The 24,938-nt window shown below is 44.4% G+C and overlaps 1 protein-coding gene across 18 annotated transcripts in view, besides 3 other annotated features; it reads right to left on the bottom strand.

Moving 5' to 3' along the window:
* DMC1 (DNA meiotic recombinase 1) overlaps positions 869-24,938 on the bottom strand; it is a 61,037-nt gene continuing 36,967 nt past the window's right edge. For 12 of the 18 annotated variants that reach the window (XM_047441084.1, XM_047441082.1, XM_047441078.1 and 9 more), the window contains 2 exons: positions 13,330-13,446; positions 10,670-11,811 (listed from right to left, as the gene is read on the bottom strand). In XM_047441084.1, the coding sequence (XP_047297040.1) occupies positions 11,742-11,811; positions 13,330-13,446 (187 nt within the window). In that variant the 3' untranslated portion in view covers positions 10,670-11,741. Of the gene's footprint in view, positions 1,151-10,669; positions 11,812-13,329; positions 13,447-24,938 lie in introns of those variants that run through there. The other 6 variants (XM_011529835.3, XM_011529838.2, XM_011529837.3 and 3 more) reach the window with 1 other exon arrangement.
* Positions 4,465-5,273: an enhancer, noted in NCBI's record as "H3K27ac-H3K4me1 hESC enhancer chr22:38908748-38909556 (GRCh37/hg19 assembly coordinates)". NCBI's record gives its function as "activates a minimal SCP1, AML or CMV promoter by ChIP-STARR-seq in naive H9 embryonic stem cells {active_cell/tissue: H9 hESC(naive)}" and the evidence as "EXISTENCE:reporter gene assay evidence [ECO:0000049][PMID:30033119]".
* Positions 6,294-6,702: a transcriptional cis regulatory region, noted in NCBI's record as "candidate enhancer chr22.1887 targeted for multiplex CRISPR interference". NCBI's record gives its function as "positively regulates LGALS1 gene expression in K562 cells {active_cell/tissue: K562}" and the evidence as "EXISTENCE:mutant phenotype evidence [ECO:0000015][PMID:30612741]".
* Positions 23,453-23,653: a silencer, noted in NCBI's record as "peak4491 fragment used in MPRA reporter construct". NCBI's record gives its function as "represses an SCP1 promoter by STARR-seq MPRAs in K562 erythroleukemia cells {active_cell/tissue: K562}" and the evidence as "EXISTENCE:reporter gene assay evidence [ECO:0000049][PMID:32103011]".

The raw sequence follows: 24,938 nt of genomic DNA on the forward strand, positions 1-24,938 counted from the left end.
GCTCCTGTCCTTGCTCACTCTGAATTTATTCTTCACACTGCAGTCATAGGGGTCCTTTTATTATGTCACTTTACTTAAAATTTTCCAGAGGTTTCCACTTGAAAGAAAAGACAAAGGCCTTACAGTGGCCTACAAGCCCTTGAGGATGCAGCCCTCTTCTGTCTTTCCTCCTTGTTCTACTCTAGCCACACTCGGCCTCAGGGCCTTTGCACTCGCTCTTTACTCTATGTCAGCAAGGCTAGATACCTCAGTTTAGGTCTGTGCTCACATGTCACTCAATCAGGGAGGCCTCCCCAGAACCCAATGCAACACTGCATAACCTGCATACTCTCCTCCTTCACAAGTACACATGCATTCTCTCTTTTCCATTTTTCTTTGCTTTCATTTGAATTAGTAACTGCTTGACATAAACACTTTTTGTCTCCCTCCTAGAGCGTAAAATCTGTGAGTGCAGGAACTTACTTGTTCACCACCGTGACCCAGTGCCTACCTGGCACAGTGCCTGACCTTTTAGCCATTCGACCACGCCATACCCTTGTCCAGTGAGTCTGTGACTGTCCCTTTGTGTTTCTGGGCCAACTGACATCTCAACGGCTTTTGTTTTTTGAGACAGAGTCTCGCTCTGTCGCCCAGGCTGGAGTGCAGTTGGCTCACTGCAACCTCCGCCTCTTGGTTTCAAGCGATTCTCCTGCCTCAGCTTCCTGAGTAGTTGGGATTACAGGCATACGCCACCACACCTGGCTAATTTTTGCATTTTTAATAGAGACAGGGTTTCACCATGTTGGCCAGGCTGGTCTGAAACTCCTGAATTCAGGTGATCTGCCTGCTTCGGCCTCCCAAAGTGCTGGGATTACAGGCGTGAGCCACCTTGCCTGGCCTTTGTCATCAACTTTTATTTTAATTCTGGGGTACATGTTCAGGATATACAAGTTTGTTACACAAGAAAACGTGTGTCATGGTGGTTTGTTGCACAGATCAACCCCTTGCCTCGGTATTAGGCCCAGCATCCGTTAGCTATTCTTCTCGATGCTCTCCCTCCGCCGACCCCCAACAGGCCCCAGTATGTGTTGTTCCCCCGCTCCATGTGTCCGTGTCCTCTTCTGGGTCTTTGATAGTCTTCACTGATGCTTTCTGCTCACGCTCAGATAATCTGCATTTTCACGTAAGATAAAATAATCATAGAGCAGAGGCAGCAGTCAGCTATGTGTTTGTTTCAGGCGAGCAGAGGGATGACTTTTTAGTTTTGTCCTTTGTCCTGTGCTTGTGATGGTAAACCATCAATGTACATTGTCGGGGTGAAATTCAACGGAACTGTTTTAGTGTAAAGATCTTGGAGGCCCACAAGGAATTTCTTTGTGGGCAAATTGTGAGAGGCCTATGTAGCTTTTTTTGTTTTTTGTTTTTTTTTAGAGACAGAGTCTCACTCTGTCGCCCAGGCTGGAGTGCAATGGCGCGATCTTGGTTCACTGCAACTTCTGCCTCCTGGGTTCAAGCAATTCTCCTGCCTCAGCCTTCTGAGTGGCTGGGATTACAAGCATGCGACATGACGCTAATTTTTATATTTTTTAGTAGAGACTGGCTTTTGCCATTATTAGCCAGGCTGGTTTTGAACTCCTGACCTCAAGTGATCCACCCACCTTGGCCTCCCAAAGTGCTAGGATTACATGGCCACCGCATCTGGCCTTCATTATATATTACGGTGTAATAATAATATAAATAGGCCGGGCCTAATAGAAATAGTCTGGCTAACATGATGAAACCCCGTCTCTCCTAAAAATACAAAAAAATTAGCTGGGCGTGATGGCGCATGCCTGTAGCTACTCAGGAGGCTGAGGCAGGAGAATCGCTTGAATTGGGGAGGTGGAGGTTGTAGTCTTAAAAATGGTATTTACAGGCTGGGCACAGTGGCTGACGCCTGTAATCTCAGCACTTTGCGGGGCTGAGGTGGGCAGATCACTTGAGGTCAGGAACTCGAGATCAGCCTGGCCAACATGGTGAAACCCCGTCTCTACTAAAAATACAAAAAATTAGCCAGGTGTGATGGTGGGCGCCTGTAATCACAGCTACTCGAGAGCCTGAGGCAGGAGAATGGCTTGAACCCAGGAGGCGGAGGTTGCAGTGACCCAAGATGGCACCATTGCACTCCAACCTGAGCGACAGAGCAAGACTCTGTGTCTAAAAAGACAGAAAAAAGAGAAGTTTCCTCTAGAGCGCTGAATGACAAGAGACAATGTGGAGAGAGAAGTCTCATACTTACAAGTATATCCTGCCAAGACCCCAGATATACAAGTGAGGCCATCCCAGACCCTTCAGCCAGCCTACTAGCTGAATGTAGCTGCGTGAGTGAGCTATTTCCTTCCTCCCCGCAAAATCCCTTATCTTTTTCTTCATGTTTTCATCTTAGGATATGAAAAGGAAACTGCTGTAGTTGTTTTTTAACCATGAAGGGAACTTTTGGAGAACAGAACCAGCACACCGAAGGTGGGGAAAGTGGAGAGAAGGAAAGAACCTGGGCCCTTGATGACATTATAGAGTCACTGTATTAGCCAACTGTGGAGCTGGTTGACTTCTGGACTTCTTATTTGAAATGACATGCTTCCTCATTGTTTAATCTACTTTTTTGAGCTTTGTGTTACTTGTAGCTGAAAGCATTCTAACTGATACACTCCTCAACCAGCTCTTCTAATACAAGTACAAAATCTGAAACAAGTCAGGCATGGTGGCATGTGCCTATAGTCCCAGCTACTTGGGAGGCTGAGGCGGGAGGGTCGCTTGAGCCCAGGCATTTGAGGTTGCATTGAGCTATGATTGTGCCACTGCACTCCAGCCTGGGTGACAGACTGAGACCCCATCTGTAAAACAAACAAACAGAAAATCTGAAACACCTTGCATAGTATACAATAGGCATTCAATAAGTTTATCATTAATGAGGAAGTAAAAGAAGATTTTGTTGTAAAGAATGCTAATTGCTTATCCAACAACCATTCTCCCTTTCTCCCTTTTCAATTAAGAGTCAGGAGGCTGGCGCTGTGGCTCACACCTGTAATCCCAGCACTTTGGGAGGCCGAGGCGGGAGGATCCCTTGAGCCCAGGAGTTCAAGATCAGCCTAGGTAACATAGTGAAATCTCAGCTCTACAAATAATAAAAAAATTAGCTGGGTGTGGTGGTGTGTGTGTGTGGTTCCAGATACTTTCCATATACGTGGAAGGCTGAGGTGGGAGCGTCACTTGAGCCCAGGTGCTTGAGGCTGCAGTGAGCTATGCTTGCCCCACTGCACTCCAGCCTGGGTGACAGAGAGAGACCCTGTAACCTCTGGAAAAAAAAATTGAGCGAGAGAGAGAAGACAGGGTCTTGTTCTGTCACCTGGGCTGGAGTGCAGTGACACGATCACAGCTCACTGCCATCTTGAACTCCTAGGCTCAAGCGATCCTCACGCCTCAGCTGCTGAGTACCTAGGTCTACAGGTGCTCATCACCATGCCTGGCTCCTTTTCCTCCTTAATAACAGAACTCCAAATTTTAGCTGGGCATATTGATGTCTGGAACAAAAGTCTGTATTTTCCTACCTCTTTTGTGCATGGGTATGGCCAATGAGATATAAGCACAAGTGTTGTATGGTAGGGCTGCTTTACAGGAGCTGAGTCAGCTAGACAGAGCTTTTCCTTCTTTTTTTTTCTTTTTGCCCTTCTGCCTTTTATCTTTCTTTCTTTCTTTGAGACAGGGTCTCACTCTGTCACCCAGGCTGGAGTGCAGTGGCACAATCTTGGCTCACTGCAACCTCTGCCTCCCGGGTTCAAGAGATTCACCCGCCTCAACCTCCTGAGTAACTGGGAGTACAGGCGCATGCCACCACACCCGGATAATTTTTGTATTTTTAGTAGAGATGAGATTTCACCAGGTTGGCCAGGCTGGTCTCGAACTCCTGTCCTAAAGTGATCCACCTGCCTCAACCTCCCTAAGTGCTGGGATTACAGGTGTGAGCCACTGCACCCAGACTGCCTTTTATCTTTCTTCTCTCAACTTGGTTTCTCTGACTAGAGCTCCAGCTGCCAACTTAGGCAATGAGCTGACCTTGAAGACGGAAGTCAAAAATTAAGATGGTCAAGCAGAAAGATAGAGGCCTGCGGGCCTGATGACAAAGTGGACCCACTGTAGTAGCATCTCTGGACTGCCTAGCTTTAGATTTCTTTTCTATGAGAGAAAAATAAACCTGTATTTTGTTTGGGACACTTATTTTGGGGGTTTTCCCTTATATTCAGTCAAGTAAAATCTAAGCTATCCCTTTAACAACTTCCCTCTCAAAATATTGAAGCCTGGCGTAGGAAAGCACGTGAAGAGTATGAATAATGAGAGCTGTCCCACCCGAGTGTTAAGCAAGCCCCTCCTGGCTTCCCTTTCTCCAGTCCCTGAAGGCGGCACTTGAGAGGCACTCTGTTGTTACCTTGGTTGGAGTTCTAGATGGCAAGTGATAGAATCTAACTGGCTAACTAAGGCAAAGGGAAACTTATTAGAAAGACATTAGGGGCTGAGCGTGGTGACTCATGCCTGTAATCCCAGTGCTTTGGGAGGCCAAGGCGGGTGGATCACCTGAGGTCAGGAGTTCAAGACCAGCCTAGCCAACATGGCAAAACCCCATCTCTATTAAAAATACAAAAATTAGCTGGGTGGGGTTGTGCACACCTGTAATCCCAGCTACTCGGGAGGCTGAGACAGGAGAATCGCTTGAACCCAGGAGGTGGAGGTTGCAGTGAGCCAAGATCACACCACTGCACTCCAGGCTGGGTGACAGAGCTAGAGTCTGTCTCAAAAAAAAAAAAAAGGACATTAGGGTTCATTGAATTAGCAGAAGACTGCAGAAACAGCCTGGGCATGGATGGGAGTCTGAGCCACTCAGCAGTCTAGGAGCCGGAAACCCCAGTCTAGCAGCAGGAACAGCCTGGTCAGGCCTCTGCCACTGCTGCTAGGCCCTGCTGCCCCTGCTCCCCCTGCTGTCACTGCAGGTGTGAGCAGCCTCTAACCCCTGCTGTCATCCTTGTGACTGTCACTTCATATTCAATGTCTCAGGATGCACTACCTGAATTGGGGAGAGGTGACTCTTTGAAAGAAAACAAGTGTTATTATGATGGAGAAATGCAAACTGTGCAACCAGAAAATGTGAAACATTTGCCCTAACAAGCCAGGGTCAGTTGAAGGAGTCCTGACTAGCCACACTTGGTGTCTAAGGCCCAATCCTTCTCCTCACCATGATGAAAGATATCCCTTGTATCTAATCTCTTTCTCTTTCTCTCTCTCTTTCTTTTTTCTTTTCTTTTTTCTGAGACGGAGTTTCACTCTTGTTGCCCAGGCTGGAGTGCAGTGGCACCATCTCGGCTCACTGCAACCTCCGACTATCCGGTTCAAGCGATTTTCTTGCCTCAGCCTCCTGAGTAGCTGGGATTACAGGTGCGCACCACCAAACCCGACTAATTTTTTTGTTGGGGTTTCGCCATGTTGGCCAGGCTGGCCTTGAACTCCTGACCTCAGGTGATCCGCCCTCCTCGGCCTCTCAAAGTGCTGGGATTATAGGCGCGGGCCACTGCGCCTGGCCCAGAATGAATAATCTATGAGGAAAAAGGCATGTTCCTAGTGAGTTTTCTAACTTGATGCATCCCACCAAAGTTAGAAGCAGTAACTTGGCTACTGTGTGGGGAAGGCCTGTTTGAAAACAATAGCAGCACGGAAATCAGCAGAGCAGGAGATGGAGGCAGCAAGATCGAGTCCTGAGGCTGCTGTCGACACCTTGGCTTCACCTGTGGCTGAAGTCAGCTCTTCCTCTGGATTTTTCAGTTTCGTGAGCCACTGAATTCCTTGTCTTGCATTTGCTAGCATTGTTAGAGGTGTTCAAACCAGAGGGATTCCATCTTGAATAGTGGCTGGGTAAAATAAGGCTGAGACCTACTGGCCTGCATTCCCAGGAGGTTAGGTATTCTTTTTTTTTTTTTTTTTTTTTTTTTTGTGAGATGGAGTTGCAGGCTGGAGTGCAGTGGCATGATCTCTGCTCACTGCAACCTCCACCTCCCGGGTTCAAGCGATTCTTCTGCCTCAGCCTCTGGAGTAGCTGGGACTACAGGCATGCAACATGACGCCCAGCTAATTTTTGTATTTTTAGTAGAGACGGGTTTCACCATGTTGGCCAGGATCGTCTAGATCTCCTGACCTCGTGATCTGCCCACCTCAGCCTCCCAAAATGCTGGGATTACAGGTGTGAGCCACCAGGCATTCTTAATCACAGGATGAGACAGGAGGTCACAAAGATACAGGTCACAAAGACCTTGCTGATAAAACAGGATAGGTAAATAAGCTGCCCTAAACCTACCAAAACCAAGGTGGCAATGAAAGTGACCTCTGGTTGTCCTCATTGCTCATTATACACTAATTATAGTGCATTAGCATGCTAGACACTCCCACCAGCGCCATGACAGTTTACAAATGCCATGACGTCAGGAAGTTATCCTGTATGGTCTAAAAGGAGAGGAACCATCAGTTCCGGGAATTGCCCACTCCTTTCCTGGAAAATTCATGAATAATCTGCCCCTTGTTTAGCACATGCTCAAGAACTAACCGTAAGTATACTCAGTCAAGCAGCCCATGCTGCTGCTCTGCCTATGGAATAGCCATTTTTTTATTCTTTTTTTTTTTTTTTTTTTGAGACAGATTCTGTTGCCTCAGCCTCCCGAGTAGCTGGGACTACAGGTGCCAGCCACCATGCCCGGCTAATTATTGTATTTTTAGTAGAGATGGGGTTTCACCTTGTTGGTCAGGCTGGTCTTGAACTCCTAACCTCGTGATCTGCCCACCTCAGCCTCCCAAAGTGTTGGGATTACAGGCGTGAGCCACTGTGCCTAGCCTGAAGGCAAGTTTATTAAGAAAGTAGCCGGGGCCAGGTGCAGTGGCTCACGCCTGTAATCGCAGCACTTTGGGAGGCCGAGGCAGGTGGATCACCTGAGGTCAGGAGTTCAAGACCAGCCTGACCAACATGGTGAAACCTCCATCTCTACTAAAAATACAAAAAATTAGCCAGGCGAGGTTAGGCATGCCTGTAACCCCAGCTACTTGGGAGGCTGAAGCAGAATTACTTGAACTCAGGAGGCGGAGGTTGCAATGAGCAGAGATTGCACCATTGCACTCCAGCCTGGGCAACAAGAATGAAATCCCTCTCAAAAAAAAAAAAAAAGAAAGAAAAAAGGGAAAAAGAAAGTAGCAGGGCACGGTGGCTCATGCCTGTAATCCCAGCACTTTGGGAGGCTGAGGTGGGTGGATCACCTGAGGTTAGGATTTCGAGACCATCCTGGCCAACATGGTGAAACCTCGTCTCTACTAAAAATACAAAACTTAGCCGGGTGTAGTGGCGGGCGCCTGCAATCTCAGCTACTTGGGAGGCTGAGGTAGGAGAATCGTTTGAACCTGGGAGTGGAGGTTGCAGTGAGCCAAGATTGCGCCACTGCACCCCAGCCTGGGTAGCAGAGGAAGACTCCATCTCAAAAATCAATCAATAAATAAACAAACAAACTTGTTTTTGCTTTACTCTATGGACTCACCCCAAATTCTTTCTTGGGTGAGGTCCAAGAACTCTCTCGGGTCTGGATTAGGACCCTTTTCTGGTAACAGTATGTTTCTGTGGCTTGCAACCAAAAGAGTCCTAACCAATAAACCCTCTTTTTTGAGTGCTCCTCTCCCCTATATAGGCCAGAAATAGACCAGACCTATGTCTACACTCAAATGGAGAGTGGAGGACTGGAAAGCCATGGTCCTTTGCTCACAGGAAACAAATTGAACCCCGGCCTAGAAAAGCTCAGTGGGCACTGGTGATTTTCCTGCTGGCCCAGATACCTGCATAATCTGCAGTTCTGTCCCAAAGTTGGGCCCCAAGTTACAGCTTTTTAGTTCACATTCTAACACTCAGCCACTGTTCTCCAAAGCAGGACATGTAAGAGTGGCTGGACCCAGAGAGATTTCCAGCCTTAGCCAGATGCCATATTGAAACCAGCTTCTCCACTGAACTTTAGGCCTTTGTTTTGGGCCCTGTTTTCCAACCCAAATGCCCACTTCTTGGTAAATTGTCCTTCGTCAGGGGTACTCTGCTTAACCCAGAAAAATTCTCTGAATTTCAAGTCTTGAGAGTTTTATTTCTGTCCCTACTAAAAGACTCTGGGCTGCTATGCAAATTGGTCCACCCCCTCTCCAGGGCTCCTCATACCAGGGAATCTCTAGGAGATGCTCAGTTTTTATCAAGGATGTTGTCAAAGCTATTTAAATTGTACATTTATAGGATAGTCAGATGTCGCCACAGGAGGAAAGATAGGAGAGGCTTGTAGAAGAAAGTTTATTATACTCAGGTCCTAAAGAGGGGGTCACCACATGCCATGCAGAGATCACTGGGGAATGTGGGGGTAGTCAGGAGGCAGAACACTGGGATGGGGGAGAGCTTGGGCCATGGCCTTTGTTGACATTTCTGAGGCAGGGCAGGTTAAACAGTTGAGGAGTGGCCAGTTGAATAATCTTTTTCTTTTTCTTTATTTTTCTTTTTTGAGACAGGGTCTCACTGTCGCCCAGGCTGGAGTACAGTGGTGCCATCACGGCTCATTGCAGCCTCGACTTCCTGGGCTTAAGTGATTCTCCCATCTCAGCCTCTGAGTAGCTGGGACTACAGACATGCCACCACACCTGGCTAACTTTTGTTTGTTTTTTGAGACCAGGTTTCACCATGTTGCCCAGGCTGAAATTTCAATAGGCTCTAAATTAGATGGGTGGCCCCTAGTTGCCTGGTAGCAGGGCCTGGGATGATTAAGGGAAAGGAATAGTCTCTTCTGGAGTGTAAGGGCCAGATAGAGCTAGGATGGCTGTAGATTAGTTAGTTTGCGCATCAAAGGCATGCTCTTGGCTAGTGCCTTTGCTATCTCTAAGAATTGGCTATCCCTGATAGGGGCAGTCTCTCCCCAGCTAGAATGATTTTTCAAGATGTTAAAACAGGCCGGGCGTGGTGGCTCACGCCTGTAATCCTAGCATTTTGGGAGGCTGAGGCAGGTGGATCACCTGAGGTCAGGAGTTCGAGACCAGCCTGGCTAACATGGTGAAACCCCATCTCTACTGAAAATACAAAAAATTAGCGAGCATTGTGGTGGGCGCCTGTAATCCTAGTTACTCGGGAGGCTGAGGCAGGAGAATCGCTTGAACCCAGGAGGAGGAGGTTTCAGTGAGCTGAGATTGCGCCATTGCACTCCAGCCTGGGCAACAAGAGTGAAACTGTGTCTCAAAACAAAAAACAAAACAAAAAACAAAACAAAACAAAACAAAAAAGTTAAAACAGCATAATACACAGAAAATTTAAAATATACACAATGAATCAAGTAACAAAGCCTTCCTTTCCCTAGGACAAAAGTGTGCCTTTATATTTGCATACGAAAATAAGCCATTTAAGTGATTTTGCAGAATGCAGAAAATCTGCTCCTAGATGACTTTATTTCTGCTTATTCAGGGAAGCAGCTTCTGTGGTTTTCAAAAGGTAAAAGGAAGAAAAAAAGCTCCTATTTCCCAGTATCCTGCATTGTGAACAATTTCTACTTGCCGAGTTAGTCTCTGTTTTCTTTCCATATCCCAGCTCCTATACCTTTGCAGTCTCTCAGCTTAACCTTTCCCCTCCCATTTTTGGAATTTTACTTTTTTTTTTTTTTTTGAGACGGAGTCTCGCTCTGTCACCCAGGCTGGAGTGCAGTGGCATGATCTCAGCTCACTGCAACCTCCGCCTCCTGGGTTCATGAGATTTTCCTGCCTCAGCCTCCTGAGTAGCTGGGATTACAGACGTGCGTCATCGCGCCCAGTTAATTTCATATTTTTAGTAGAGATGGGGTTTCACTGTGTTGGCCAGGCTGGTCTCGAATTCCTGACCTCAAGTGATCCACCCACCTCGGCCTCTCAAAGTGCTGGGATTACTGGCGTGAGCTACCGCACCCAGCAGAATTTTACTTTTTCTTTAAGGGTCAATCCAAGATTACACTGCTTATGAATTAATTATATAATCATTTGCTCTCTTGTTTTCCTAAATATTAGTCTTTTCTCTTAACTAGTGTACACATGCTTTATGTGTAGGAACCACATTTTCCTTGTTTATTCTTTAGCGCTTAGCATTAATAATAATTAGTGAGTGAATAATTTCATGAATAATCAAATACCTTTTGTAACAAATGGTACTTCGAATACTTGAATTTTCTTCTCTTTCCTTCTTTTTTTTTTTGAGACAGAGTCTCACTCTGTGACCCAGGCTGGAGTGCAGTGGCTCTATCTTGGCTCAATGCAACCTCCACCTCCTGGGCTCCAGCAATCCTCCCACTTCAGCTTCCTGAGTAGCTGGGACCTCAGGCACACACCAGCACGCCTGGCTAATTTTTTTGTATTTTTGTAGAGACGGGGTTTTGCCATATTGCCCAGGCTGGTCTTCAAACTCCTGGGCTCAAGCAATTCACTCGCCTTGGCCTCCCAAAGAGCTGGGATTATAGGTGTGAGCCACCACGCCCAGCCCTGGAATTTTCATGTAAGTTGATGTAACATTAAAGTCTATAAAGATTGAAGTCTATAAAGCTCTTCATTGTATATTGTCATTAGTATATTAATTTTTACATATTTTCACCATACATGCATTTTGAAAACAGGATTTTATTTGTTTAACAATCAAAATAATATCTTTTACACATTTCTAAGATTAGTATTCAGAAATTTTACATTTAAATTAATTTTAACATTTTAAAAAAGTTTTTTTTTTTTTTTTGAGACGGAGTCTCACTCTGTCACCTAGGCTGGAGTGCAGTGGTGCCATCTTGGCTCACCGCAATCTCTGCCTCCTGGGTTCAAGCAATTCTCCTGCCTCAGCCTCCAGAGTAGCTGGGATTACAAGCACATGCCACTGCACTTGGCTAATTTTTGTATTTTTAGTAGAGATGGGGTTTCTCCATGTTGGCCAGGCTGGTCTTGAACTCCTGACCTCAAGTGATCCACCTGCCTCGGCCTCCCAAAGTGCTGGGATTACAGGTGTGAGCCACCACGCCCAGCCATAAATACATTTTTTAAAAGTAATTTCTGCTTGTCAAAGTCAAATGATTTAAAATTTGGCTTAATTTAATGTCTGTTTTCTGTTGCTATAAAGGTGAATATGCAGTTTGATATTATAAATAGAAAGAGCTTTTGTGTGTGTGTCCTATAAACATTCCTCCCTTAAATCCTCTTGTGGAAAAACATCTAGCTATGTAAGTCAGTGGCACTATACCCTAGAAAAATGGTGAAGGGAAAGTCCTTAGGAGAATGGGACATTTCTGAACTCTTAGACTTTCTGTTTAGTGGCTCACTTTGAAAAGTGAAAGGGAGGGAATCACGTACTCCTTTCCCAACAACTAGTTTTCCATAGGTATATATACATACACAGAGTGAGAGAATTTCAATAGGTATATATATCTACTATATATGTCAGGTATACACACACAAACACACACACACACAAACATACATATACATATCCCTGAATTTACATACAATGTATAGTTATCATAAATCAGGGACTTTTAAGATAAATATAAGATTTAAATCTCTTTGCTGACTTTTCTTTAGTAACATGTGGGAAAAAACCTCTATTTCAAGATGTGAAATTGGAGACTGCTTTTCCATTTCTTCAGCTCCTAATAAGCACTAAGAAGCAATTTGCATCAATTCACCACCTACTCCTTGGCATCCCCAATTCCTCCAGCAGTTATTGCGAAGGTGGCTTCATTTTCAGGCATCTCAGGACTAACAGAATACAAGGGAACAGAAGTTTATAAAAAGCTCTATTTCTATAAATACTATATTCATGTCACAGGCATTATGTGCCCATCAGTCTGAATCTCCAGAGACATCTCAGAGTTGGTACAACCAAATGTGGCCTACAGAACTTACCCACAAGTATTATTAACCCTCACAAACATTTATTGAGCAACTTCTATATATAAAGTTCTGAATGTCAAGAAAAATTACTCCAAACTTGGAAACAGGTGAAAGGATAACTGGATGTTCTTTCATTTATTTATTTTAATTTTTTTTTTTTGGCGAAGTCTTGCTCTTGTCCCCCAGGCAATGGTGAGATCTCGTCTCACTGCAACCTCTGCCTCCTGGGTTCAAGCCATTCTCCTGCCTCAGCCTCCTGAGTAGCTGGGATTACAGGTGCCTGCCACCACGCCCGGCTAATTTTTGTATTTTTAGTAGAGACGGGGTTTCACCATGTTGGCCAGGCTGGTCTTGAACTCCTGACCTCAGGTGATCCGCCTGCCTCGGCCTCCCAAAGTACTGGGATTACAGGCGTGAGCCACTGCGCCTGGCCAACTGGATGTTCTTTTAGTATAGTGTCAGGCATTGTATAGCAGCCCCTTAGAGGTTTATCTGATTCTATAGGGGTATGCACCTTTCTTATGACTAGACTAATGTAGGAGCAAACTGTAAAATACTTTGAAATAAATTAAAAGATTACTGAGTACCTTCCATGGAAACATAGGTTGTCTAGCACATCCTCCCAGGTTATCCAATTCTTTTTTGTTTTTTGTTTTTGTTTTTTTTTTTTGAGACGGAGTCTCACTCTGTCGCCCGGGCTGGAGTGCAGTGGCGCGATCTCGGCTAGTCTCAAACTTCTGGCCTCAGGTGATCCGCCCACCTCGGCCTCCCAAAAGTGCTAGGATTACAGGTGTGAGCCACTGTGCCGGGCCAAAATCTGTAATTCTTAATTAAACACGTAAAGTGCTGAGAAAGAATATAGGGTATAATATACTGAGTAGCCTAGACTGTAAGGGTTAGGGAAAGGTTCCCTGAGAAAGTGATGTTTAAACTGAAACCTGAAAAACAAATAGAGTTAACCTGGCAAAAAGAAAGGAGGATATGTTCCCATACTTGATACTTACCTTGTATTTAACACAATTTAATTGGAATTGATGATTTCATTATCTAGGTGTATGCTTTGAAAGGTCAGGGACCAAGTCTATGTGTCAATAGAATCCCTCAATCCCTAGTACCTAGTAACAGTAGGGACTTCCCAATAAATTGAATAATTTTTTAGAAAGAAATTCAAACACACAGCATCTGGCAGTAATAATTACAGCCTTGTGGTGGCTCACACCTATAGTCCCAGCACTTTGGGAGCCCAAGGTGGGAGGATTGCTTGAGCCTAGGAGTTTGAGACCAGCTCGGGCAACATGGCAAAACCCCGTCTCTACACACACACACACACACACACACACACACACACACACACACACACACACAAAATAAAAAAAAATTTACCTGTCATAAATCTTGGCAATTCTGAGCTCTCCTCTTCCCTTTCGCAAGCTTATTCTTGTTGTTGAAGCATGAGCCAGAATGTGTCCCCCAATGGGTTTTTTGGGATCTGCCTGAAAGCTGAATTAATAAAATACTCTTTCAGGTTTCATCATATGGACTATATATGGCAATATCTGCAATTACAAGGCAATCTTTCTGTGGTGGATGTCAGGAGTTGGAATAAGTGTATATTCTAAACAAGCAGAGGCTTGTTCATAAACTAAGGAGTGAGGTGAGTTTTGGAGCTGCTATATACCCCATCTAGTCTAGGCTTTTGAGATTCCTATGATAAATAGTTTATATTTTGTTTGACTTTTTTTTTTTGAGATGGAGTCTAGCTGTGTCGCCCAGGCTGGAGTGCAGTGGTGTGATCTCACTCACTGCAACCTCTGCCTCCTGGGTTCAAGCGATTCTCCTGTCTCAGCCTCCCAGGTAGCTGGGATTACAGGTGCCCACCACCACGCCCAGCTAATTTTTTGTATTTTTAGTAGAGATGAGGTTTCACTGTGTTGGCCAGGCTGGTCTCGAACTCCTGACCTCATGATCTGCCCGCCTGGGCCTCCCAAAGTGCTGGGGTTACAAGCACGAGCCACTGTGCCCAGCCTGACTTTAAAAAATGAGATTACTGGCTGGGCTCGGTGGCTCGTGCCTGTAATCCCAGCACTTTGGGAGGTCGAGGTGGGTGGATCACTGAGGTCAGAAGTTCGAGACTAGCCTGGCCAACATGGCAAAAACCCATCTCTACTAAAAATACAAAAATTAGCCAGGTGTGGTGGCGTGTGCCTGATGCTTGTAATCCCAGCTACTCTGGAGGCTGAGGCAAGAGAATTGTTTGAACCCAAGAGGTGGAGGCTGCAGTTAGCTGAGATCAGCCACTGCATTCCAGCCTGGGCAACAGAATAAGACTCCTTCTCAAAAAACAAACAAACAAAAACAGAAAGAAAAAAAGAAAATGTGGGCTTAGAAATCATCAATAAGGGAACAGCACAAACTAAAGGTTATACTTGATCAAAATAAACTATGATATAGAATAATAGCTTCAGTTCTGAAAGAATATAGTTACAAGTCAATTCAAGTTGTGCTTGCTCCATTAAAGTGTTCATGATTCTGGTTTTACTCTAAGCTTCAGGCTTGGTATAGCAAGGATGTAGCTGATTGGCATGAGGTTAAATATATTTAGACTGTAGGTTGGTCGGGATAAGAAGCTCTTTGGTAAAGGAGTTTGCTGAGATAAACTGCTACTTGATTAAATGGCTCAGAGGTTAGGACCAGAAGACCCCTGGTTGGTGCTGAATAGGATTAAGATTCAGTAGAAACTGGACACTATGGCACATATCTGTAGTCCCAGCTACTTGAGAGGCTGAAGCAGGAGGACCACTTGAGCCCAGGAATTCAGAGGCTAGCCTGGGCACCATAGTGAGGCCCTCTTAAAAACATTTTTAAAAAAATGTTTTAAATGCAAATGCAGCAGGTCCAACATAGGAACAAGGACAAAGAGTTAGTTTTGGAGTGAACCACTATCAAGAAAGTAGTAGCCAGACAGTTGAGACTAACGGCGGCAGTTAAGAAGTCAGAAAGCTGGGTTGCTTTGCCAGGCACCTGACATGGTAGTAAAGCAATAAAGCCTTCTCAGTTGGATAAAATAGCTAGATAAGTGAGTTGTCTCTATAATGCTTACAGATCGATGCCACTTAACTTTTCAGGTCACCCTACCTTACAGGTGGTTCTTCATGGTTTTAAAATAATCTTATGTTCTATATAGATGGGCTGCTTGAGACCCTGAGGATATTCTCAACTGAGCTATGAACTCCGAGCCTGCAAACACTGTATTTATGCTTCTGTAATGTACTTTTCATGTTCTGCCTTTAGTACTATTATTTATTTACTTATTGTATTCCTTCTCAATTCCTCTCTTATTCTCTATCACTAAGCTCCTTAAGGGCAGACTATATTGTGTTTAGTTCTGCACAACCAGGCACACAGTGGGTGTTCAAAATTGTTTTTTCAGCTACGTGGGAGGCTGAGGCAGGAGAATCGCTTGAACTCGGAAGGCGGAGGCTGCAGTGAGCTGAGATTGCGCCACTGTACTCTAGCCTGGGTGACAGAGTGGGACTCTGTCTCAGAAAAAAAAAAATAGTTTTTTCAGCTTAAGATATTTATGCTACAACAATTCCAAGGGGAATATTGGACTGCAAAAAGATTGGTGTTTTCACAGAAGTTAAGAAAAAATAAAATTGAGACCAGTTGGAAATTTCTATCAAAAGGAGCTAAGAACGGATAGTCAAGGTTAGCTAAATGGGCAGAGAGAAGTCTGAACACAATGCTACTGCTTCTCCCAGCTAGTCTCTCAATGCTGCTCATTCTCCTGTGTGAGCATGGTTGGCTTTACTGCCTCACCTTCAGTAGTCTCCTTAAGCCCCCTTTTCCATTCTTATCCCCTCACCTTGGATGACATTGCCTGCTACTTTATAAAGAAAATAAGGGCTTGGCCGGGCACAGTGGCTCATGCCTGTAATCCCAGCACTTTGGGAGGCTGAGGCAGGCAGATTGCAAGGTCAGGAGTTTGAGACCAGCCTGGCCAATATGGTGAAACCTTGTCTCTACTAAAAATACAAAAATTAGCTGGGTGTGGTGGCGTGCACCTGCAGTCCCAGCTACTCAGGAAGCTGAGGCAGAAGAATCACTTGAACCCAGGAGGCAGAGGTTGCAGTGAGCTGATCGCGCCACCGGTGGCCCTCCAGCCCAGGCGACAGAGCGAGATTCCGTCTCAAAAAAATAAAATAAAACAAAATAAAATAAAATAAAACTAATAAATAAAAAAGAAAATAAGGGCTCTCAGGAGGACACTTCCTCAACTTCTTCTTTCTGTCCACCACCTATATACTTAACTACAGTTGTACTCATGTTTTCTCCTTCCCTCTAAAACTTCCTTTTTTCTGATTTCAGAAAGTCTTCTTATCCTTGATGACTTTGCACACATTACTCCCTCTGAAATGAAAGCTCCTTTCCCCACCGTGTCTGCTCATTCAGCTCCTACACAGCCTTCAAGTGTCCTCCCTTCTAGGAACCCTTGCCTGGTTCCCTGAAACAGTAGAAAACTGGCCCCCTCTGTGCTTTCCAACAGTCTGTATTCTTTTATTAAAGCACACTACAGGTGGGCGCAGTAGCACTTTGGGAGGCCGAGGCGGGCGGATCACCTGAGGTCAGGGGTTCAAGATCAGCCTGACCAACATGGAGAAACCCCGTCTCTACTAAAAATACAAAATTAGCCGGGTGTGGTGGCACATGCCCGTAATCCCAGCTACTCAGGAGGCGGAGGCAGGAGAATCGCTTGAACCTGGGAGGCAGAGGTTGTGGTGAGCTGAGATCGCACCATTGCACTCCAGCCTGGGCAACAAGAGCCAGACTACGTCTCAAAATAAATAAATAAATTAATTAATTAATTAAGCACACTACATGGTAATTTTAAATGTATGGGTCTTATTCCCCAACTATACTCTAAATATCTGTTCATCTTTGAAACTCCAGCGCCTGGAAAAGTGCCTATAATATACAGGGTACTCCATAAATATTGCAGAATGAATACAGAGATGACAATTTGGGACTCCCTGGTCTAGGTCCTTCTTGGACACAGATTTGTGTCATATCTTCAAAACTGTAATTCAGGGAACTTTTGAAGAGTGTTCTGACAGAGGCAAATATAAAAGAAGATAGATTCCCCCAGTTGAAGCACCATGCCTCCCATGCCATTATAGATAACCTAAACAAGACTGGGAAGCTAGAGCTTCTAGATGTATAGCCATGATTTTTTTTTCTTAGCAAACTATTGTTTGCTGTTACTAGTGTGGTACCCAATGTGCAAAAAAGAATAGAGACAATTGCTTGTCATTACTGTAGGTGAAGAGCCTGAATGTTAAGAACATTATTTCCAAAAGGAGATGATTTTGAATCACCCAAATGGGGAAATAAATTATAGCATTTGCAAAAGGGCAAAGAAAACATATAGGAATGAGGCTGGGCAGAGTGGCTCACACCTGTAATCCCAGCCCTTTGGGAGGCTGCGGCAGGTAGATCCCTTGAGCCCAGGAGTTCAAGACCAGTCTGGACAACATGGTAAAACCCCATCTCTACAAAAATACAACAATTATCTGGGCATGGCGGTGCATGCCTGGAGTCCTGGCTACTCAGGAGGCTGACGCAGGAAGATCTCTCAAGTCCAGGAAGTTGAGGCTGCGGTGAGTGTTCATTGTGCCACTACACTCCAGTCACTCCAGCCTGGGTGACAGAGCAAGACCTTGTCTCAAAAATAAAATAAAATACATAAAATAAAAGAAAAAAAAAGAAAAAGAAAGATATTATGGGGATAAAAAAGTCTAACAAATGATTAATAAACTAAGAAGTTATATCAAAATAGGCTGTGACATAGCAGCCTTAACTCCAGGAGACTATCAAGCCAATTCAAATTTTGTTTGTTTGATATAATCCATAGGTTTAAAAGAAAGGAAAACAAACAAATTTTGTTTGTTCCACTAAGGTGTTCAGGATTTTGTGTCAAATTTATGGATTTTTTTTTTTTGAGACGGAGTCTTGCTCTGTTGCCCAGGCTGGAGTGCAATGCCGTGATCGCGGCTCATTGCAATCTCCACCTCCCGGGTTCAAGCGATTCTCCTAGCTTAGCTTCCTGAGTAGCTAGTAGTAGATTACAGGTACATGCCACCACGCCCGGCTAATTTTTGTATTTTTAGTAGAGACGGGGTTTCACTATGTTAATCAGGCTGGTCTCGAACTCCTGACCTCATGATCTGCCCACCTCAGCCTCCCAAAGTGCTGGGATTACAGGCGTGGGCCACCACGCCTGGCCAAATTTATGGCTCTTAACCTTTCTTGTAGGTCACTAACACTTTGATAATTTAATAAAAACATCCCCTCCCCACCAAAAAAAGGGCACATATACACACATACAAAAATTTTTGTGTAAGTCTGGGAAATTCATAACCCCTTCTCTGGTGTACATGGGTATTAATAATAATAATAATAACTAAGATTTACTGAGTCCTTGCTATGTGGCAGACATTCTTCTAAGTCATCAATTTTTTTTCCCTTTGCTTGGATTCCATATCTAGTAAATAATTTCAGATTAAAATTTGGATTCCTATTGAGGTCTACTTACAGGGAGAGAATGTGCTGGTCACATGAATCTCAAATGTAGCTACATTTTCGTTATCAATAAACTGGCCGTCTGGTTCTTCATTCAGTCTCATGAGCTTGATTAATGTGTGTCTGCCCCCAGGAAACAGATTGGTTCTTAGTAAGCTGACCAAATCAAATCTCTGCCTGCAAGGCTGAGGGCTCTGGACTATGGTCAATTCACTGGAGAAATGGATACATCCCTGCAAAACCTCTCAGGTGACAGCATACCAGCCATTCCCCAGGCAGAAGCAGTCCTGATATACTGTGTGTTGTATGAGCTATGGAGTTAGACCTGAGTTCAAATTCTGTCTGGCTTTTTAGCCATATGACTTGAAGAAAATTGTTTAACCATTCTAAATCTCTCCTTCTTCTTTTATTTTTTTTTTTAGACGGCATCTTTCTCTGCCATCCAGGCTAGAGTTCAGTGCCAGGATCTCAGTTCACTACAGCCTCCGCCTCCCCAGTTCAAGCAATTCTCCTGCCTCAGCCTCTGGAGTAGCTGGGACTACAGGCGCCCGCCACCAAGCCCAGCTAATTTTTATATTTTCAGTAGAGACAGAGATTCACCATGTTGGCCAGGCTGGTCTTGAACTCCCGACCTCAAGTGATCCGCCCACCTCGGCCTCCCAAAGTGTTGGGATTACAGGTGTGAGCCACTGCACTGGACCTCCTTTTTCTCCTTTTTTTTTTTTTTTTTTTTGAGACGGAGTCTTGCTCTGTCACCCAGGATGGAGTGCAATGGCACGATCTTGGCTCACTGCAACCTCTGCTTCCTGGGTTCAAGCAATTCTCCCTGCCTCAGCCTCCCAAGTAGCTGGGATTATAGGCACCCATCACCATACCGGATAATTTTTGTATATTTAGTAGAGATGGGGTTTTGCCATGTTAGTCAGGCTGGTCTCAAACTCCTGACCTCAGATGATCCACCTGCCTCAGCCTCCCAAAGTGCTGGGATTACAGGTGTGAGCCACCATGCCCAGCCTTACTTCTTCATTTTTAATGGGGGATAATAACTGTACTTAATAGTTGTAAAATAAAATGCAATAATTCAGGTAAGGCATAACTCCAGTGACTGCAATTATTTACCTGCTTTCCTAATCCTGACTTAAACATTTATTACCTATATTACCTTGGGGTACCTTTATGAACCTCAGTTTCTTTCACTATAAAATGGGAATAAAAAGACTTTACCTCTTAGGGCATTGTAAGGATTCAATATATATTGAATTTTTTTTTTTTTTTTGAGACAGAATCTCACTCTGTCACCCAGGCTAGAGTGCGGTGGCATGATCTCGGCTCATTGCAACCTCCACCACCCAGGCTCAAGCAATTCTCCTGCCTCAGCCTCCCGAGTAGCTGGGATTACAGGTGTGCGCCATCACACTCAGCTAATTCTTTTGTACTTTTAGGAGATACAGAGTTTCATCATGTTAGCCAGGATGGTCTCAAACTCCTGACCTTAAATAATCTGCCCGCCTTGGCCTCCCAAAGTGTTGGGATTACAGGTGTGAGCCACTGCGCCTGGCCTGAATCTTGAATATTATACATACAAGGCTCCTATGTGCCAGGAACTGTACCTGTTCACTTACATACATTTGTTCTATCCTTACGGCAATCTTGGCACATAAGAGATCCTCGATAAAGGATAATTATTGGCTGGGCACAGTGGCTCACGCTTGTAATCCCAGCACATTGGGAGGCCAAGGTGGGCAGATTGCTTGTTTGATCCCTTGGAGGCCCACAAGTTTGAGACTAGGCTGACAACAGGGTGAAACCCTATCTGTACAAAAAATGCAAAAAATTAACCCGGTGTGGTGGCATGTGCCTGGTTCTGTGCTGCCTTGGAGGCTGAGGTGGGAGGATCACTTGAGCCTGGGAGGCCAAGGCTGCAGTGAGCTAAGATCATGCCACTGCACTCCAGCCTGGGCAACAGAGACCCTGTCTCAAAAACTAAACTAAACTAAAATAATACATAGGATAACTATTATTTAACTAAACAATTCAGCTAAAACAGTCACTCTGTCAGTGAAAAGTAGACCAGGAAACTTTTCTTAAAGTTTCTTTGAACTTCCTGACTATTACAGCAGTTATAACCAAGTCTTGAGGTGAAGTACAAGAAGGTATAATAGCATTCCACATTCTTTTAGAGGGCTTTAATTTTCTTCTATTTCTTTCTTTCTTTCTTTTTTTTTTGACGGAGTTTCGCTCTTATCGCCCAGGCTGGAGTGCAGTGGCACCATCTCGGCTCACCACAACCTCCGCCTCCCAGGTTCAAGCGATTCTCGTGCCTCAGCCTCCCAAGTAGCTGGGACTACAGGCGTGTGCCACCATGCCCTGCTAATTTTTGTATTTTTAGTAGAGACGGGGTTTCACCATCTTGGCCAGGCTTGTCTTGAACTCCTGACCTCATGATCCACCTGCCTCGGCCTCCCAAAGCACTGGGATTACAGGCGTGAGCCACCGCACCCGGCCAATTTTCTTCTATTTCTGACCAAGTAAAAACAGCTTCAGAAAACCACCCACAAACCTCCTTGAGCCTATCATCTTATTTCTTCTTCTTTTATATTTTCTTCTCTTCTTCTTTTTTCCTTTTGTCAGGGAACTAGGGAGTATGGCAAGGAGGAGGAGATGGGGGTGGATATTAGTAGTAAAGAGGGGATGAGAATATTTCACTTCTCCCCCTCTGGTTGAACAGGATATGGCATATTATATTGTTGAGAGTAAGACCCAAAACAGCCTGACCTGGCAATGTCAAATTAGGATGCTGGGGTCATGAAACATATATAGAGTTATGGTATAGGATGGGGAAGATGGTACAGTGAGGTTCAAGTAGCATTAACTTTGATGTCAAAGATACCTGGGTTCAAATCCTGGCTCACACATTTTTAAATTCTGGAATTGGGCAAACGCTAAGTATTCTGAGCCTCTGTTTCCACCTTTATAAATTAGGAATAATCATCATGCCTACCTTAAATACTGCTTAGAGTGTGGATCTTGAGGGGCATGGGCAAGGGCAAGCTTGAGGGACAATAAGTACTCCTGATGCTTTTTACTTACTAAGGAGTGAGATTACAGATGGCATTTTCGAGAAGTGGTCCATTGAGGAGAGAAAGATTGAACTTGCCCAAGAATGAGGAGGCTTTTTTGGAGATGGAGTCTTGCTCTGTCGCCCAGGCTGGAGTGCAGTCACATGATCTCAGCTCACTGCAACCTCAGCCTCCTGGGTTCAAGCAATTCTCCCTGCCTCAGCCTCCCAAGTAGCTGGGATTACAGGAACCCCCCACCACACCTGGCTAATTTTTGTATTTTTAATAAAGATGCAGTTTTGCCATGTTGGCCAGGCTGGTCTCGAACTCCTGACCTCAGGTGATCCACCTGCCTCAGCCTCCCAAAGTGCTGGGATTACAGTTGTGAGCCATGCCTGGCAGGGGAGGCTTTGAGATTTTGGGAAGATGGGGGAAAGGGGAGTACCGCCAAAGAAGAATTTTGAGGAAAGAGAAGAGGTGGTTAAAAAAAAAAGGGTATGTTTAAGAAGTTTTGTTAAGTAATTCTCCCCTCTGTCTTCTCCCAAAATATGCAGAAAAATATACACTTTTTTCAACATTTTAAAGATGGAATTCTGGGTTCTTTTTTGCGGGGGGAGGTGAGATGGGGAGGGATTCAACAACTTACTGAGATTGGCTTCACAAAAGCAACAGGGAGGTCCAAGGAGGCTGTGAGTTACATTGGGGTCACATGAGAATTAGATAAGATGATGCATAAAAGCACCTGGCACATGGTAAGTAATCAATAAACATAAATTAATTTTGAGAGGGAGGAAAATGCAGTTCAAATAGTTTAAATCACTTGTACAAGGTCACTATGCTAGTGACCCTGGTTTAATGTTTTTTCTCTAATCATATTGCCTCTTAATTTATGCTAATGATGTTGGATCAGAAGGTGACATCCTTAGGACGGGTGTGGTGGCTCACACCTGTAATCCCAGCACTTTGGGAGGCTGAGGTGGGCGGATCGCCCGAGGTCAGGAGTTCAAGACCAGCCTGGCCAACATGGTGAAACCCTGTCTCTACTAAAAATACAAAAATTAGCCAGGTGTGGTGGCATGCTCCTGTAATCCCAGTTACTCAGGAGGCTGAGGCAGGAGAATCTCTTGAACCTGGGAGGCGGAGGTTGCAGTGAGCCAAGATCATGCCATTGCACTCCAGCCTGGGTGACAACAAACAAACAAAAAGAAGGTGACATCCTTAGAGAATAAACTGACTGTATATTTACAAGACTGCAAATGTTCTACGGTGACTTTTTGTTTTCCCAAAACAAATACACAAATGAAGTAGGTGGCAACATCATGGTCTTATTTGTTGTTCATCTTGTTATTTGCCCCAGTGTGGGACTTTATGGACTGATACTTTGACTTTTTATCTCCAAGTCTTCATCAACTGGATCATTCCAGTTCTAAAGTCTGTATCTGTAAGCCTCATCTAGGAGCTACTCCTCTTGCTATATCGTATGGCAGCTCCTCGCTTCTATAATTTCGTTCCTTTTTAATAAGATGTGCAATCAAGTATAATGCATGGGATATAAGCCCCAATTATTGTCAGTGTACTTGCGGACTCATACCAATTATAGTGATAGTTCCCTGACAGGCCCCAGGGGAACTGCAGCTTGGAGTTTCTCAACACTGAGAAACAAAGATATTTTCTTTATGGGAGGTTTCCTAATAGTATTTAAAATCCTTTAGTTTAAAATTGTCCTTTTTTTTCCCATTTAGCTGTGGCAACTTTTGTGCTTTATATAAAGACAAGCATTTAATTTGTATTGTTATAATTTAATATACTTTATTAACATACCAATTATAGTGAACCTTGTTTCCTAACAATTCAGCTAGGTGGAGGAGATGATGTTTCAGAGTTGACTTACCCAGTAAAAATACTAGCCTTTGTTACTTTGTCTAGCACTTTACTTAGCTTCCTCATTTTCAGTCTCCTCCCCATTCCAACTCCCTCTTCAATTATCTGTCATCTCTCTATTTCTTTCATTGTCTTATTGGAATTAATTCAAAATTGTTTTACTCTTTTTGAAACTTTCTACAAATATAAGAAAAAGAACCCCTATCTGACCTAATTTCCGCTGATTTCCTTTGCCTTCTAACTCTAGAGTGACAGTTTTGGCCTCTTCAATGTTCCCTCCCGACACCTGAAGAAAGAACATTGCTCTTTAACTTGTACTGTTTTATTTGAATGCAACCCACTTCCTCCCTCTGAGCCAATGAGTCATTTTCTCTTTTTAAAACGAGCCTTAAAAATCTTCCATTTCTCTTCAGTTTAAAATTATTCTCTTTGTGAAGCACTTCATGTCCTGTGTATGAAAGTCATCCCATAAAACAGAGATGATTGCCTTAACCACTCAGCGACTATACTATAGACAATGTGTGACTTACCAAGACTAAAATTTTGAGTTGAATGGACATCATTTATTGTCTTTCTTTTTTTTTTTTTTTCTTTTTTGAGACAGAGTCTCACTCTGTCACCCAGGCTGGAGTGCAGGGGTGTGATCTCGGCTCACTGCAACCTCCCCTCCCGGGTTCAAACGATTCTTCTGCCTCAGCCTCCCAAGTAGCTGGGATTACAGGCACGCGCATTTACGCCCGGCTAATTTTTATATTTTTAGTAGAGACAGGGTTTCACCATGTTGGCCAGCCTGGTCTCGATCTCCTGACCTCGTGATCCACTGACCTTGGTCTCCCAAAGTGCTGGATTACAGGAGTGAGCCACCACACCCGTTCACAAGACTTTTTTTTTTTTGAGACAGGTTCTCACTCTCTTGCCCAGGCTGGAGTGCAGTGGTGCAAACATGGCTCACTGCAGCCTTGACCTCCCAGGCTCAAGCAATCCTCCTGCCTCAGCCTCCCAAGTAGTTAGGACTACAGGCATGTGCCACCATGCTTGGCTAATTTTTAATTTTTTTTAGAGACGAGGTCTGTCTATGTGACTTAGGCTCCTGGGCTCAAGCGATCCTCCTGCCTCGGCCTCCCAAAGTGCTGGGATTACAGGCGTGAGCCACCGTGCTTGGCCGAGGCCAGGATTTTTGTCTTTTTTGTTCACTAGTGAATTCTCAGAATATTGTTACATAGTAGATTTTCAATAAATATTCATTGAGTGAATAAATGATTTCCCCTGCTCAATCTTTTTAACTTGCTTAATAACATTTGAGTAGTTAATATTTTTCACAGGAATCTCTTGTAACTAAGTAGAAAATACTTATAAAAGGGTCTTGAGGCCAGACGCGGTGGCTCATGCCTGTAATCCCAGCACTTTGGGAGGCTGAGGCAGATGGATCACGAGGTCAGGAGATCGAGACCATCCTGGCTAACACGGTGAAAC

This window comes from Homo sapiens, chromosome 22, assembly GCF_000001405.40.
Source record: "Homo sapiens chromosome 22, GRCh38.p14 Primary Assembly".
Taxonomy (NCBI): Eukaryota; Metazoa; Chordata; class Mammalia; order Primates; family Hominidae; genus Homo; species Homo sapiens.